Source organism: Homo sapiens, chromosome 2 (genome assembly GCF_000001405.40).
Source record: "Homo sapiens chromosome 2, GRCh38.p14 Primary Assembly".
In the NCBI taxonomy this organism is placed as follows: Eukaryota; Metazoa; Chordata; class Mammalia; order Primates; family Hominidae; genus Homo; species Homo sapiens.
Genome location: NC_000002.12, coordinates 248,990 through 264,845, shown reverse-complemented (window position 1 = coordinate 264,845; position 15,856 = coordinate 248,990). Strand labels below are relative to the sequence as shown.

General features: G+C 41.2%; 1 protein-coding gene across 9 annotated transcripts in view, besides 3 other annotated features; it reads left to right on the top strand.

The window, feature by feature from the left end:
- The window catches only part of SH3YL1 (SH3 and SYLF domain containing 1), a 46,689-nt gene continuing 30,854 nt past the window's right edge, over positions 22 to 15,856 (top strand). For 2 of the 9 annotated variants that reach the window (NM_001159597.3, NM_015677.4), the window contains exons 1-3: positions 814 to 862; positions 11,731 to 11,841; positions 15,002 to 15,115. In NM_001159597.3, coding sequence (NP_001153069.1) covers position 862; positions 11,731 to 11,841; positions 15,002 to 15,115 — 226 coding nt within the window. In that variant the 5' untranslated portion in view covers positions 814 to 861. Of the gene's footprint in view, positions 65 to 102; positions 144 to 453; positions 763 to 813; positions 863 to 2,059; positions 2,646 to 3,715; positions 4,762 to 8,505; positions 8,640 to 11,730; positions 11,842 to 15,001; positions 15,116 to 15,856 lie in introns of those variants that run through there. The other 7 variants (NR_104223.2, NR_104224.3, NR_104226.1 and 4 more) reach the window with 7 other exon arrangements.
- Positions 189 to 268: a silencer, noted in NCBI's record as "silent region_11099". NCBI's record gives its function as "represses an Ori minimal core promoter by ATAC-STARR-seq in GM12878 lymphoblastoid cells {active_cell/tissue: GM12878}" and the evidence as "EXISTENCE:reporter gene assay evidence [ECO:0000049][PMID:35858748]".
- Positions 339 to 918: a silencer, noted in NCBI's record as "silent region_11098". NCBI's record gives its function as "represses an Ori minimal core promoter by ATAC-STARR-seq in GM12878 lymphoblastoid cells {active_cell/tissue: GM12878}" and the evidence as "EXISTENCE:reporter gene assay evidence [ECO:0000049][PMID:35858748]".
- Positions 11,471 to 11,671: a silencer, noted in NCBI's record as "peak3579 fragment used in MPRA reporter construct". NCBI's record gives its function as "represses an SCP1 promoter by STARR-seq MPRAs in K562 erythroleukemia cells {active_cell/tissue: K562}" and the evidence as "EXISTENCE:reporter gene assay evidence [ECO:0000049][PMID:32103011]".

The window sequence follows — 15,856 nt, the reverse complement described above, 5'->3', positions numbered from 1 at the left end:
GCGCGTGTGAGAGCCACGCCTGCGCAATCGGCTCCAGTGCGCCTGCGGAGGCGGTCCTATGACGGTAGTAGGACGGGCGGGGAGGGTCCGCGGGTCACCTGCAGGGACTGGGCCGCCGTTCACCTGCAGGGGCGGGGCTGCAGGTTGTCCGGAGGAGGAGGAGCTGCGGGGGTGGGGTCACCTGGAGGGAGTAGGGCCGCGGAAGGCGAGGGGGTGTGTGTGTGTGGTGGCGGGGGTTGGCGGGGGGGAGTCACCTGGAGGGGGCGGGGCTGCGGGTCGCTTGGAGGGGAAGGAGCCGCGGGAGGTAAAGGTTACCTATAGGGGACGGGGCCGCAGGAGAGGGGTACCTGGAGGAGGAAGGGCCGCGGGTCACCTGCAGGGCGGGCTCAGGCCTCGCGGCTCCGCGGGCCGCCCACCTGGGTTGGGGCACAGCGCGAGTCTCGCGCACGTGGCGGGCTGTGGTGCCTGTCGTTCGAGTTCGCATAGAGGGGCTGGGCGGGTCACGCGGGGAACCTGCCTTGAGCCCCGCGGGGTCCACGCCGGACCAGGGCGGCCTTGGGCCTGGGCGCTCCCTGAGACCCCCACCCCCAACACCGTGCTTGGAGCCGCCGCGGGGCTCTGGGCTTTTCGATCTTGAGGACGGGGCGGTTCCGAAGTCCCTGAGGGCGAAGGCCTGAGCGCGGCCCGGCGGGCGCGTGGTTTTTGTCCCGCGAAACGTACACGGCGGGTGTTTTGCGCCGCCTCCTTCGTCACCTGCCGCAGGTACGCCCTCGCTGGGGCCTCCTTGTCCGCGGGGCGGGGCAGCGCGCCTTCCTCTTCCTGGGCAGCCTCGGGACGGGGCGCCGCGGCCGGGCGGGCAGCAGTGAGTACCCGGGGACCCACCTGTCCGGCAGCACCCTCCCCTCTCAAGAGCTGGGCGGTGGTGGGAGGAGGAGGACGGGAAAACCGGCGATGCCTCTGGGGTTTCTAGGTCGCGCGTCTGTTAACCGCAAACCGCCCAAAGTTAAGATAGAGCAGCTTCCAGGACTTTCTTGACCACAGCGATTTTGATTGAAGTTTAGCCACCGTCTTTTCCATTTTTAGAAAAGCTATTCCGAAGTTTGGAATGATGACGATGGTCGTGTTATTTTTAACTTCCTGATATTTGAACGGCGAGGTGTCAGCGACCATCCTTCCGTTCCACAGAAGCGTCTCTGAAGTTTGGGTCGAATGCGCGCGCTTGGAATGTGCGTGGAACCCGCGGCAGGCGCGGGGAGGAGGCCTTGGCTAGGGCGCCGGCGAGGTTCGAGTTTGCCAGCCCCCCAACCTGGAAGAGAAGGGCCAGCCCCTCACACCCGGAAGGGAAGGGCCGGTCCCCCCAACACCTGGCGCCGGGGTCGCGGGGCCACAGGGCGAGCGCGGGGTCGCGGCGAGCACGGGTCCTCTCTGATCGCTGGGCCTTGGCGCTGGCTGCTGAGTTTTTCCTTCTTTAAGGAAGTGTGGAACTGGTCTCAATCGGTTGACCACCTTAAGGAAATAGGATTTACACTGTGGACAGAGATGTGTCCTTTACACTTCATTTGAACCAATATGCCCATGCTCCTGTGGAGGCTGAGTTGGAAAGTGACACGAAGCTGCCCCCCCGCAAGAGAGCAGGTGCTCGGTTTCTCTTCTGCTTACAGGAGATGCATGTCCTGATTTCTTGTTCTCCTAGGTGTTTTTATTGAGATGTAGGGAATATCTGAATTCATAACGACTTAGAAAATCTGTACACACAGTTGAGAGAACAGGTCTCGAGGCTAAGGTGCTGTTTACTCCCGTGGGCTGGCCTGTTATTAAAATACTTGTGCAGCGACTGATGTTTACAAATTACTATGTTGGAGGTTAAAATGATCAAAGTGATAACCTCCATCCTGTCTATCATGTTTGAGGAGAATTGGTTATTTGGTTCACTAATGTTCTGTTTAAAGAAAATTTCTGTAAAACTAGTAAATGTTACCCCTCATCTTTTGTAAGTTAAAAAAAAGTTTAAAATAATGTTTGCTCATCAAAAGTGATTTGATACTTTTGTTCTGTTTAGGAAAACTTTATTCTCAAGAGATTTCTCATTCCGCAGAAATAAGGATCTGGCATGTCAACACAAACATAGGAAGTTGAGGCAGTCAAAGGGAAATAACTGCTACCCTGACTCTGCTGAGAGCCTCACAAGTCCCTGTGCACGCCAGCTTGTTTGCCAGTGAGTGGCGTCATGATAAGACAAAATTCTCTGCTCTGAGACCTAAGCACATGAAGTTTTTAAAAAAATTTTCTCTGAGAAGATCCCATTTTTTACTCTAAAAGATCAGACCAGTGTGGCATGTGTGGAACTGCTCTGTACCAAGATCACACTCTTCAGTTGGAGAAGAGGAAGGGCAGGAATAAATAAAGGGCTTTCCTGTCTCCCGAGGGAGCAGAGAAAGCTTTCGCTGTCCTCTTCCTTCCCCAGCCACAGCCTGGGGTTGGGGGACTGGAAACAAGCTCAGGCTAGCACTTGATGTTCAGACGGTAGTCTGAAAGTTTGACTAGGGAGTTAATGATCTGACCAGAGAGACAGGTTTTTATTTTGAGAACTGACAAGCTTTGTGTCCTTAAAACAAAGGAAGTAGTTAAACCAAGGCCCCAGAAAGGTAAGAATTGACTTAAGAAACAAAGGCCATAGTTGTCAAGCAGTGGAGTTCAAAATGCAGTTTTGTTAATAAAAGTAGCTTAAAGCAACATTTGAAAGCCTCTCTAAAGATTAGATACATACACTTTCTTTTGGCTAAGATTTCTTTAGTTTATTCTAAATATACCTTTAGCAGCATTCAAGTTCCTTTGATCTTAGATGGAATTTTATCAGTTTAATGAGTTAACCTCCATTTCACATAAAGTATAAGGTTTAATAATTTGATTAATATGTAATCAGTAAGAACTTGGAAAACCAAATTTAGTAAGCTTGCTTTCCTGTAAGTATTCCTTTCATAATTAGAGTCCATTGAAGAAAATAATATAAGGGAAGCAAAAGTTTGGGAATCTGAACTCTGGTAAGGAAAGTGGTGGAGAGGGGCCCTTGGGTCTTCTTGCTTTCATTCCTGACCCTCCGTGTACAACTAGATTGGAAACCGTAGTCAGCTTTGTCACCTCAGGTGGCAATTTACTCCGAGTAGGATTCTCATGTCCCTGTTTGTCCCCAGTGACTCTAGCATTGAGTTTATAGAACTGCGATCAATACCTAAAATTATTTCCAGATCTTAAGCTGATTTATGCTTTTGAGGTTTCCAAAGTAAAAATTGTCTTTCCGGTATTTTATAAGACCTTCTAATTTAAAAAAAAAATGTGTTACTATGAAAATTTAAAACATTTTAACTTTTGTTTTAAAGAAAACTTTATTTGAAAGTTTCTTAGCTTGAGGTTTGGCAGCCACTCTTTTTTTAGAAAAAACTTAAATATTTATAGAGATTTTGCCTGATTCAAGGGACTTAAGACGTTTATGAGAGTGCAGATGCTAACCATGATGTGAGGTTTAAGAGGCTTCATTAGTAATGACCTGTGTCTTCATCAGTATGATAGAATGGGACATCAGCACTCTGATCAGGTCATGCTCTATATGCCTTATGGTACAGCAGAGGAAAAATGGGTGAGCCATCATTTGATGCTGAGGATGGGATTTGAGGCTTATGTCTAAATTTTTATTTGCATATTCTTTTTGTTCTGACAGAGAAATTCACTGCATGTAACTATGACCACGCATGATTTTATCAGAAGTTGATTAGAATCTGTAACATTTTCTGTAGTTCAGCTGACACACTGAAGATGTCCTCACTGTGACCAGCCTTGTCAACAGCTGGATCACAGTGACATAAGCTGTGTCTAGGATGAGTCTTGCGGTCTGCAGCCGTGTGAGGCTGCATCTGATTCCCAAGTCCAATGGCTCTCTTCCCGTGTTTACAGATCAGGCCATGACCTTTCCCTACAGCAGGATGTTTGCAAGATTAACTCTCAACTGAGGAATTTGCTTATTTGCTCTAATACTGCTTGGTTGAGAGAGTTCAAAGTAGAAAGTCTTCTGAGGGGATAAGATTCATGTATTATTTACAGTGCTTCAGTTGCATGTATCAGAAAATCTAGTCTAAATTGCTTTAACAGAAAAAGATGTTGCTGGTCCATTTGACGAAGAAGTCCAGAGCGGCTTGTGACTTCAGTCTGGCTTTGCAGAGCCCAGGTGCTCTCTCCACCTTCTGCCAGGTTCCCCTATGAAGGCTTTGCTCTCAGACTCTCCCCTTGTGGAGACAAAAATCCCACAGCAAGTGGAAACAGAAGTGCCTTGGAAAAAGTTATTCTGGCAGCTCCTATACAAGTCCCCCATCAGATGCTGGTATTGGACCAGCTTTGGTTATAAAGCCCTGCTGTGGCACCAAAAGGAATGTCGTCCTGATACAGCAGCCTCGGGTCACCCAATCCACTCCAGATACTATGGCTGCAGCATCAATGTAAGCAGACAAGTTGTGCTGCCTCTGAAATAAAGTAGATGAAATATTCAGCAGCAGAAAGAACAAGTTTCCACTCCAGTGAACTAATTCAAATGTATCCAGCATCTAGATATATGTATAAATGTAATTAAAACATATTGAGCATCTAGAGCATCTCTCCCAAGATAATTACCACCTGATAGTAATGGCTATAAAAGCTAAAAGTGGAATCAGTCTACATGTTTCGCAATAGGAATCAATTGAAGCATACATCAAAATGCAGACAGTAGTATTGGTGAGTATTAATGTTATAGATGCTTTTTATCCTTCATATTTTCATATCTGTACTTTTTCCTGTATTTTACAATGTATTTGTACGTTGTACAAATAATTGCTGATCATGTAAAAATATAGAAATATAGAAATTTTGTTGCCATACTTGGGTCTTTTCCACTATGAAATTGAAAAAAAATTCTATAATTCCTGGTTCTTTTATAATTTGATATTTGACACTCTAAATCTTCAATGAATTTGGAGTTTATCTTTCTGTAACACAAAGCTGTGAATGAATTTTTGTTTTTCTCCCCAAATGAACATTATCTAGTATGCAATACATCATTTCAACATAGAATTGAGGTGTCATTTTTATTATATACTAAATTTGTAAATATATTTGGGTTAATTTCTGAATTTTCTTCTTTGTGAATTGATTTTTCTCCTATATTTGCATCTGCTATTATGTATTAATTATTGAGGCTTTGTAATGTGTCACAGGTTCTGTCAAGGCTGGGCTGTCATTGTTCTCCTATTACATATTTTTTCCTAGCTCTTCTTGCTTGTTTATTTTCCCATTTGAACTTCAAAATTACTGTGTTTTATTAAAAGACCCTTGTAAGATAGAAGACAGATTTGATTTCATTAAGAAAAAACAGAAAAAAAAGCAAATTCAAAAGACAAGTAACAGAGAGTCAATGTTTTTAACTCATATTCCAAAAAAATATTAATTTTTAATGTATAAATTAATAAGAAACAGAGAGAAACCCCCTGTAAATAACAAGGTGCATGAGAAACCTTTGATAGAGAGAGTGAAATGTGGTCAGCATTGCTCATCATAAAAGAACAAATGGAAAATGCACTGAGAGCTACTGGCCAGGGCAGCGAAATGGCTCCTGCTACTCACACATGGTAAACAGCTAGGAAACTGGACAGCTGTGTGTAGAGCACTTTTTGCACATGGTGGACATGTCTGAGATCCACAAGATAAGGGGAACAGGAGGTGAACTCCATTAGTGACCGTTTTCTGCCTGGAGCACTTCCTAAACTGCAGGACAAGGAGGGGGCACCCAGAGCCCAGGCTCCTGCTTAAAAGAAGAGGCAGAAATTGAGTCTGAAGAGGCTGAGGTAACTGGAATTTGCAGAGCATGTTACTAGCAATGAGGGACGGCTGAGAGAAAGAGCTCCAGAAATCTGCAGAGGGATCCCCCTGAGCCTTCTGCTGAATATTAAGTGCTAGCTGTGTAGGGTGAAATTTGCAAAGCAGGCAAGAACAACTGCCATGAAGCTTTGAGGTGAACTATTCACAGTGCTTGCATCAGGCTGGGGACAGCCATTCGAAACAGCCACAATGGAGACAGCTTATTAAACAACCAGGGCACCCAGGAGAGAGCCCAGAAGGGACACACCTTGATGGATAAAATAGTTCTAAAGGCTACTCTAGACACACAAACAGAACACAACAACAAGCCAACAAGTGATCAAGCTGATCTACAAGTAACTCACTGCCTGCTAACACAAGTGTTAACACTTTTAAGGGAAGCAATGAAATCTAGGCACTCAACATGGTAATATCTACAATCCTGTTTTACTAGAAAGGAGTAAAAACAGGAAAACATAACCCATAGCTGGAAGAAGAATCAGTCAAAAACAGATCGAGAAATGGCAGATTATACAATTTAAAACACCTATTTTACACAAAAAGAATAAAATACCTAAGAATACAGCTAACCAAGGAGGTGAAAGATCTCTACAACAAGAATTACAAAGCACTGCTGAAAGAAATCAGAGATGGCACAAACATGGAAAAACATTCCTTGTTCAAGGATAGGAAGAATCAACATTATTAAAATTGCCATACTGCCTAGAGCAATTTATAGATTCAATACTATTCCTATTATACTACCAATATCATTCTTCACAGAATTAGAAAACAAAACTATTTTAAAATTCATATGGAACCAAGAAAGAGCCCAAATAGCCAAGGCAATCCTAAGCAAAAAGAACAGCTGGAGGAATCATGCTACCCGACTTCAAACTATACTACAAAGCTACAGTAATGAAAACAGCATGGTAATGGTACAAAAACAGACTCATAGAACAATGAACAGAATCGAGAGCCCAGAATTCATGCTACACAGCTACAATCATCTGATATTTGACAAAGTCAACAAAAATAAGCAATGGGGAAAGGACTCCATATTCAATAAATGGTGCTGGAATACCTGGCCAGCCATACACAGAAGACTGAAACAGGACCCCTTCCTTATACCATATGCAAAAAAACAATTCAAGATGGATTAAAGACTTGAATGTTGTTAAAAACTTAAGCCAAATTAAATTTTAAGGAGTTTAATTGAGCAATGAATGATATGCAAGTCGGGCAGCCCCCAGAATCACAGCAGATTCAGAGAGACTCCAGGGATGCCTCGTGGTCAGAACAAATTTATAGACCAAAAAAGGGGAAGTGACGTACAGAAATCAGAAATGAAGTACAGAAACAACTGGATTGGTTACAGCTCATCATTTTCCTTATGTGAACACTTAGCAGTGTATGAGTGGTTGAAGTATGGCTGCTGGGATTGGCCAAGACTGAGCTATTGTTACAGATGCATACTCCTAAGTTAAGTTCTCAATCTTGTCTACATATTAAGTTAGGTGGCAGTTCATCTACAAGGACTCAAATATTGAAGTATGGAGTTCTTCTCAGGTCACATTTAGCCTGTTTTAACAATGTAAAACCTAAAGCTGTAAAAACTCTGGAAGATAAGCTAGGAAATTCCATTGTGGACATAATCGCTGGCAAAGATTTTATGATAAAGATGCCAAAAGCAATTACAACAAAAACAAAAATTGACAAATGGGACCTACTTAAACTAAAGAGCTTCTGAACAGCAAAAGAAACTATCAACAGAGAAAACAACCTACAGAATAGAAGAAAATATTTGTAAGCTCTACATCCAACAAAGGCCTAATATTCAGAATCTATAAGAAATTTAAACAAATTAACAAGCAAAAAAACAACTCCGTTAAAGTATAATAATAATAATAAGTGGTTAAAGGACGTGGACAAAAGATTTAAGCAGACACTTTACAAGATATAGAAATAGGAAAAAGTGTTCAACATCATTAGTCATCTGAGAAACGAAAATTAAATCCACAGTGAAAGGCCACTGTGTACCACTAAAATAACTAAAATTTTAAAAACTGGACATTGCAAGTGTTGGTGAGGATATGGAATAACCAGAACTCTTATAAAAGTTTCTGGTGGAAGCCTGAAATGTGTAATCACTTTAGAGAACTCTTAGGTGGCTCCTTACATTGTTAAATACACATTTACCACATGAACTGGCAATTCCTATCCTAGGTAATTACCCAAGAGAAATAAAACATTTTTTCTTTTTCTTTTTTTTGAGATGGAGTTTCGTTCTTGCTGCCCAAGCTGGAGTGCAATGGCGCCATCTCGGCTCACTGCAACCTCCACCTTCCAGGTTCAAGTGATTCTCCTGCCTCAGGCTCCTGAGTAGCTGGGATTACAGGCGCACGTCACCACATCTGGCTAATTTTTTGTATTTTTAGTAGAAATGGGGTTTCACCATGTTAGCCAGGCTGGTCTTGAACTCCTGACCTCAGGTGATCCCCCCACCTCGGCCTCCCAAATTGCTGGGATTACAGGTGTGAGCCACCGTGTCCGGCCATAAAACATTTTTTTACAAAAGGCTTACAAAGGAATATTTATAGCAGTTTTATTTGTAATAGCCAAAAGCTGGAAACAACCCAATTGTCTATCAACAGTGACTGGAAGGACAAATTGTGCTATGTCCACACATTAGAATACCAGTTGGCAGTCAAAAAGGAAGAGCTGATCTGTGCAGCAATTTGAGTCTCAGTAATTTCATGGTGAGTAAAATAAGCTAGACAGAAAAGAACACACACTGATGACTATATGAAGTTCTGGCACAGACAAAATTCATACTTAATGACAGAAATCAGATTGGCACTAACCTGAGGCAGGGGCTGGGTATAGGAGTGACCACTACAGAGGGCACGGATGCTGTGATCAGGAGTGGTCTCTACCTCTGTCCATGCACACTGAGCTATACCTGTAACAGGTAGATTTCATTTTGTAAATTGTATCTCATGAAGTTGATTTGAAAAGCCTACACTGAGAGGCAGTATTTTAACTATTCTGAGATAACATTGATTAAAAAATGCAACATGCCAAAATACACTAATGCTGTGATGCCACTTGTTTTTAAAAGGAGTAAAGAGCTACACACATGCATCATGCACACTTAATTTTGCATAAAGTATCTGTGGAAATACCTTCCTCTATCTGACTTAATACCATTGATGAATCTTGGGATGGATTTTTTTCCTGGTCTGGATCTTGTTAATACTCCTGTGTTGAGCCACAAAGAACTGATACTGACATCTTTTAAAGAAATTTAAATAGAACTCCAAAATGACCCTAAGTCAGTTTTCACTTTTTAAAATTTTATTTTATTTTGAGGCAGGGCTTTGCCCTGTTGCCCAGGCTGGAGTGCAGTAGCCCAGTCATAGCTCACTGCAGCCTTGATCTCCTGAGTTCAAGTGATCTTCCTGCCTCCGCCTCCTGGGTAGCAAGGACTTCAGCAAGGACCATGACTGGCTAATTTTTTAAATCATTTTATTGGTAGAGATGGGGGTCTCACTATGTTGCCCAGGCTGGTCTCGAACTCCTGGCCTCAAGTGATCCTCCTCCCTTGGCCTCCCAAAGTGCTGGGAGTACCCAGCCAGTTTTCACTTTTAAGATAAATTACATGTTTCAAACATTCCAGGCACCAAAATATATCACATTTTATTGGAGATATTTATATTTTGCTGAATAAAAGAAAGGGATTTTTTTCTCTGCTGTTTCAGCATTTGATCTGTCGAAAGAATAAACCATGAGTTTATACATGAGCTCTGACACAGGTTTTAATCAATTTTAAAAGTTTATTTTGTCAAGGTTAAGGACAGCCCATGACACAGCCTCAGGAGGTCCTGATGACGTGCTCAAGGCGATTTGAGTATAGTTTGGTTTTATAAATTTTAGGGAGACATGAGACATCAATCAATATATGTAAGATTGATTAGATCCAGAAAGGCGGGACAACTTGAAGTGGGTAGGGGGCTTCCTGATCATAAATAGATAGAAGACAAACAGTTGCATTCTTTTGAGTGTCTGATTAGCCTTTGTGATTTACAGGAATAGTCACTTAGGCTGTAGTCTGGCTTAGTGAAACAACAGGGCAAAGGAAACAATCAGATATGCATTTGTCTCACGTGAGCAGAGGGATGAGTCTGAGTTCCATCTGTTGTCCACAGGGAATTTCCTTGTGATCAAATTGTGAGGGAGGTGTGTAGCTTCTTACCTTTGTAGCTATCTTTTTAGGAATAAAATGGGAGGCAGGTTTGCCTCACAGAGTTCCCAGCTTGACTTTTCCCTTGGCTCAGTGATTCTGGGGTCCTGAGATTTATTTTCCTTTTACAAAAGCAAGCTTCCATTAGCGTACTTCATCTCTGTTCTGTAAATTACTGAGGCGAAACAGTGGAAATGAATGCCTTCAACCTTCCAGATCCTGGCATCCTGCAGTCAGTCACGCATGTGCCTCCTAATTGTAGACAGTGAGACAAGAACTTCTCAGCCTCAGGGCACTTGTGGTCCTACACTGAAGCTATTCAGCTTCTTCGCTCTGCTGATCCCTCGTCCAGTAACAAGAGAATAGTCTATCTTCTCGATATACTTCAGAGCTGGAAGAATTATGTGAGCTTTGTTATGACAAGCCCTCTGATGAGTGTATGAATGTCCAGGCAACACTGTAAACGTAAAGTGCCATAGAAATGCAGGCCGGCGTTACTTGTAGGCTCAATTCCCAAGTCTTCCTAGAGTTTTACTCATCAGAAAGTCTACAGGCAGCCAGTTCCAACATTTTTGGCAAGAACAACAAAATATATTAAATTTATACTATATATTATAGATAGTTACAAAATATATTTTTAAATTTTAAATTCTTATTTTAAATTAGTATTGAAGTCTGTTAATTGCAGGAAGAAGATACATAACAGGGAGGTTTGGCCAGGTTTTGTTTAACATCCTTTGGGGCCCAAGGATTTTATAATTTCTGAGATGAGAGTTTAGAGTTTCTGACTCTCAGCATAGATTTGATTTATTAGGAGAAATAGAGATGATACTGTCAATGAGGATTTCCAGTCATTTCCTTTGATAGGCTATGCTGTGGTAATGCTTCATTGTGTTACCAAAAAGGGGTCCCGATCCAGACCCCAAGAAAGGGTTCTTGGACCTGGTGCTAGAAAGAACTCAGGGCAAGTCCATAAAGTAAAAGCAAGTTTATTAAGAAAGTAAAGGAATAAAGAAGGGCTACTCAATAGGTGGAGTAGTGGCATGGGCTGCTCAACTAAGGATACTTACAATTGTTTTTCAATTATATGCTAAACACGGAGTGGATTATTCGTGAGTTTTCTGGAAAAGGGGTGGGCAATTCCCGGAACTGAGAGGTCCTCTCCTTTTTAGACCATATAGGGTAACTTCCTGATGTTGCCATGGCATTTGTAAACTGTCATGGCGCTGGTGGGAGTGTCTTTTGGCAGCTAACGCATTAGAATTAGTGTATAATGAGCAGTGAAGATGACCAGAGGTCACGTTCATTGCCTTCTTGGTTTTGGTGGATTTGGCCAGCTCCTTTACTGCATGCTGTTTTATCAGCAAGGTCTTCGTTACCTGTATCTTGTGCGGACCTCCTGTCTCATCCTGTGACTTGGAATGCCTAACCTTCTGGGAATGCAGCCCAGTAGGTCTCAGCCTTATTTCACCCAGCTCCTATTCAAAATGGAGTCCCTCTGGTTTGAACACCTCTGACAATTGTATATGAGAAGAATGAAATAATAATAAATTTCTCACTTCTATTTAGCAGAATTTTTCATTAAAATATCTTTTGTTATGTTTCAGTGAATAACCCTATACCTTCCAATTTGAAATCAGAAGCAAAAAAGGCTGCCAAAATATTAAGAGAATTCACAGAAATAACTTCCAGAAATGGACCTGATAAGATCATTCCTGGTAGGTAAATAGGATGAGTGCTGTTTGTCTCTAAATGTCTTTTTCCTAAGTTGTTTTTTGCATTGTTCGACACTCCATTTCAGGCAGAAGCCTCCATCAATGCCAACAAGTAGTTCAGCCACCTTTTGTTCCACCACCTTTTTTCTCATGACTGATCCAGGGATGCTTTGGAAACTACTACCTGTTCATTACAACTTCTGGTTATTTCCAAAGGGTGTTCACAGCATAACTTGTTTCATGCAAAGGAGATCCAAATGCCAATTAACTTTGGCAATGTTACAGACCAACCTCCCTCTTAATTAATCACAGCACGTGACTCTGAGCTCTGTTTTAAAAATTTGTTATTGATAGAATAATCTTAATAATGATAAAATAATGATATTAATTATTGTTGCATTCCTGCCACTTCTCCCATCATGAGAAAACAGTCATCATAAGGCCTTGCTACTCCAGGTGGAAGGGGTCTGGACAGGGCCAGCTGCAGACCAGGCAAACCAGCAGGGCCTCTTCCCTCCCTGTCTCTCCCTTTTGCATAGGCTTTTTCTCCTGCCTCCCATCCCAGGGTGCCAGCGCCCTAAACACCACATGTTCCTGCTCCACTTGAGCTCTCTGCAGCCTCGCCTGTCCTTTGCATCGCGTGCTAAGAACTCTGCAAGCTAACCTCGCAAACTCACCAGCTAATCTCATACATAAATTTTAATTTTGTGTTTCCTCCTTCCACATAAGACATTTACATTCTCTAGCGGTTTAAGACATTAATCAGTAATTCCTAACACAGATGTGCATCAGTATCCCCTAGACCATAAAGGCACAGTTCTTAAACCTCACTCCAAACCTGCTGAATCAGACTTTTAGTGCAGTGTGTCCAGGAATGCATGTTTTAAACATGTTTCTCATGTAATTCTTAAGTAGTCAGTGACACATAAGATCAGTCCAGAGGGGAGCCTTTGAAAACCACTATCTGTTCATCACCACTTCTAGTTATTTCCAAAGGGTGTTCATAGCATACTTGTCTCATGCCAGTTAGCCTGGACAGTGTTACAGACCAGCCTCCCTCTTAGTTAATCAGAGTGCATGACTCTGGGTCCTGCATTAAAGAGATAAAGTTAATTTTTCTAAGCCAGATATCTAAAGTTATTTAATAGAACTTTAATGCTTTAAAAATTTGTTGTTGTTTTAATAATCTTAATCATGATATTAATTGTTGTTGCATTGGCCCGGTGACTTCTCCTGTCTTGAGGAAACGGTGCTTGTTAGAGCCTTACTGCTCCAGGTATAGTCTGAATCTGCAGCTTGGCATCCCCTGGGAGCTTGTGAGAAATCTGCTCAGACGTCACAAATCAGTCTGCATTCCTCCCAAGGTCCCAGTGAGGTGCACACACACACTAGTTTCAGAAGCGCTGCTTTAGAGCTTAAAGAAAACTCAACAAGAAAAACTAGATTTTCAGTATCAGTATTCTGAAGGAGCCCGTCTCAGTGGGTGAAGCTCAGAAAAAGAAATTCTGTTTGCATGTTAGTCTAAGTAAGAGATTGCCCCAAAGCATGGGTGTGGCAACGATGGAAGTTCCACAGCCAACAGAGATCCAGGCCCACTTCTCCTGGGAGTCTGGTGGGGGGCATTATGTTTACATTAAAACAAAGATGCTATTTCATAGGATAAACAGTTGCATCTACAAAATATTTAAACAAGACATCTAGATCTTAAAACCTTCCCAGTGGTGTGTTTGGCCTCCTCTAATGTTAGGATTCTAAGAAGTAGGTGAAACTTAATTTAGCAATTAAATCTATAATTGGTACATTCTATGTTATAAATCAAAAGCTAATTGGCAGATTATTCAGGGATTATTAATATGTTAGTGTCCCTGAATTTGAGTGGAAATCTGTAAAAATATAATTGACATGTGGAATATGTCCATTTTAAAATGTGCTTTTGTTAATATCTAATATTCCCAATAGGGGCAATAGCAACTCTAGAAGCATCGAGAACAGAATGTGAGGAAGACATTCTGCCAACAGGTGGCTGTAAAAATAAATCTGCACAACATATAATACAGCTTTCAATCTTGTTACAATATAATTATAACCTTTTAAAATACAAAAATAAAGTACACTTAGTAGACAGCCATCCAGGATGCAACCTTATTTTCTGTAGCTTTCTTATTAAGAACAGCTCCACAAATGTTCTGCATGCAAACTTCATGGTGTTGGATGAATTATTTCCAAGAGTCGGTTCTTAATTTAAACTTTGAAATGGTGGCATAATTACATGAGAATTTTAGTGTTCTCTTGGGTCATCTGCAAAGCTTTTGCTCTGTGTACTAGAGCCCCATGTCTGACTTCACTTCCTTGGCAGAATATTTGATAAAAATAATAATAAGTTAAACTACCTTAAAGTTATATGTTAGGCTTCCCTCGTTAGTTTGAATGAGGTGTTATTGTGTCGTAAATTCACAGAATCGTGTGGCACTATATTCAGTGGATACATATACCAATAACCCTCATTTTATGTAATGAACATCTCTGACATGTGAATAAACCAATATTTTTAAATGGAATTATATTATCAGTGTACTAATAGTTAAGTGGTACTCAAATGCTATAGCAGATCATTTTATAAAGTTGAAAATGTTTTAACATTGGAAAATTACTTAATTTTTCTGTTTTTGAATCCAAATTTTTATATTAATACAAGGTTAATTTAGCTACGTGGCTTTAAGATCAAAGTTCTAATTCATGCTGCCTTTTTGTAATTTTTAAAGTTTCTCCTTAATACTATATGGATCTTAATTTCTTTGAAAATGTAGCTTTTATCTTTTATGTACTATATCCTAAATTAATTGAAATTGCCAAAATATTTGCCCTGCTAATAGATAGCAATAAAATCTCTTTCAAATATCTAATTTATTTTGTCAGTTACAGGATGTGAGGATATTTATGATGTTGTGTTTAGCACTGCAAAAATAGCAAACACAAAAAACATTCATGGGAATAGAGAGGCCTCGTGCCCATCTGTTGAGTGACTGACTTTTGTTCATTGCTCCTGTGTGCCCCGAATTCCTAGAGATAACCTCTGTGTACACTGACTCTGTTTAACACTTGCTCGTCTATCCAGGCACATAGATCAAAATGCTTACCTTCCCATTGTTTTCCACGTTAACAGCTCACGTAATTGCGAAGGCTAAAGGCCTTGCAATTCTGTCTGTGATCAAAGCCGGGTTCCTGGTGACTGCCAGAGGAGGCAGCGGGATTGTAGTGGCGCGCCTTCCAGATGGAAGTAAGTTGGCGTCTGTTCACTGGAGTAGAGAGTCTTCATTCTTTGTTCTGTCTGTTTTCATGTGAACACATTGCATAGCGAGTAGGACAGGTTTCCTGCATATCAACTAAAACTTATGTAATAAGGGCTACTCGACTGAACGTGCAGTTTGGTGTCAGTGAACAAGCCACAGGAACCAGCCTTTCCGTCTCTCTCTGTCCTCAAAATATTAGAGAAGACAAGACAGGTAGATATAACTTTGTTTTGCATGCATTTTGTAATTCTTCCGTGGAGCAAATATTGAAACATGGCAGTATGTGCATTTCTTTTGTTTAATATGAATTCTTATTCCTCAACTTCATGGTGTAGCTGCTTTCTTTTGTTTTATGGAAATTGATATGAAAATAAGGGGCCATATGTGAATTTCTTTGTTTCTGTGGTAGATCATAAAAACTGTGACATTTGAAGAGTTTTCCCCAAGGCAGAATCATATCAAGAGCAGTATCATCGAGTTTTACTTTCTGGGATGAAATCTACTACTTGATTCTTTAGAGATGAAATCAAAATATTTGCCATGAATCCCAAGTACTAACATTTATAGTAGTATTTAAAATGGACACAGGTGTGTCAAAACTAACTAAAATGTTTTTTATACCAATTTAACATTTGCTGTTCAGTGAACACGTTTTTCTATTAGTAGCAGTTTTTTAGCATAATTTTATTTTATTTTGAGAGAGCATGGGACACTTACAGACAATAAAT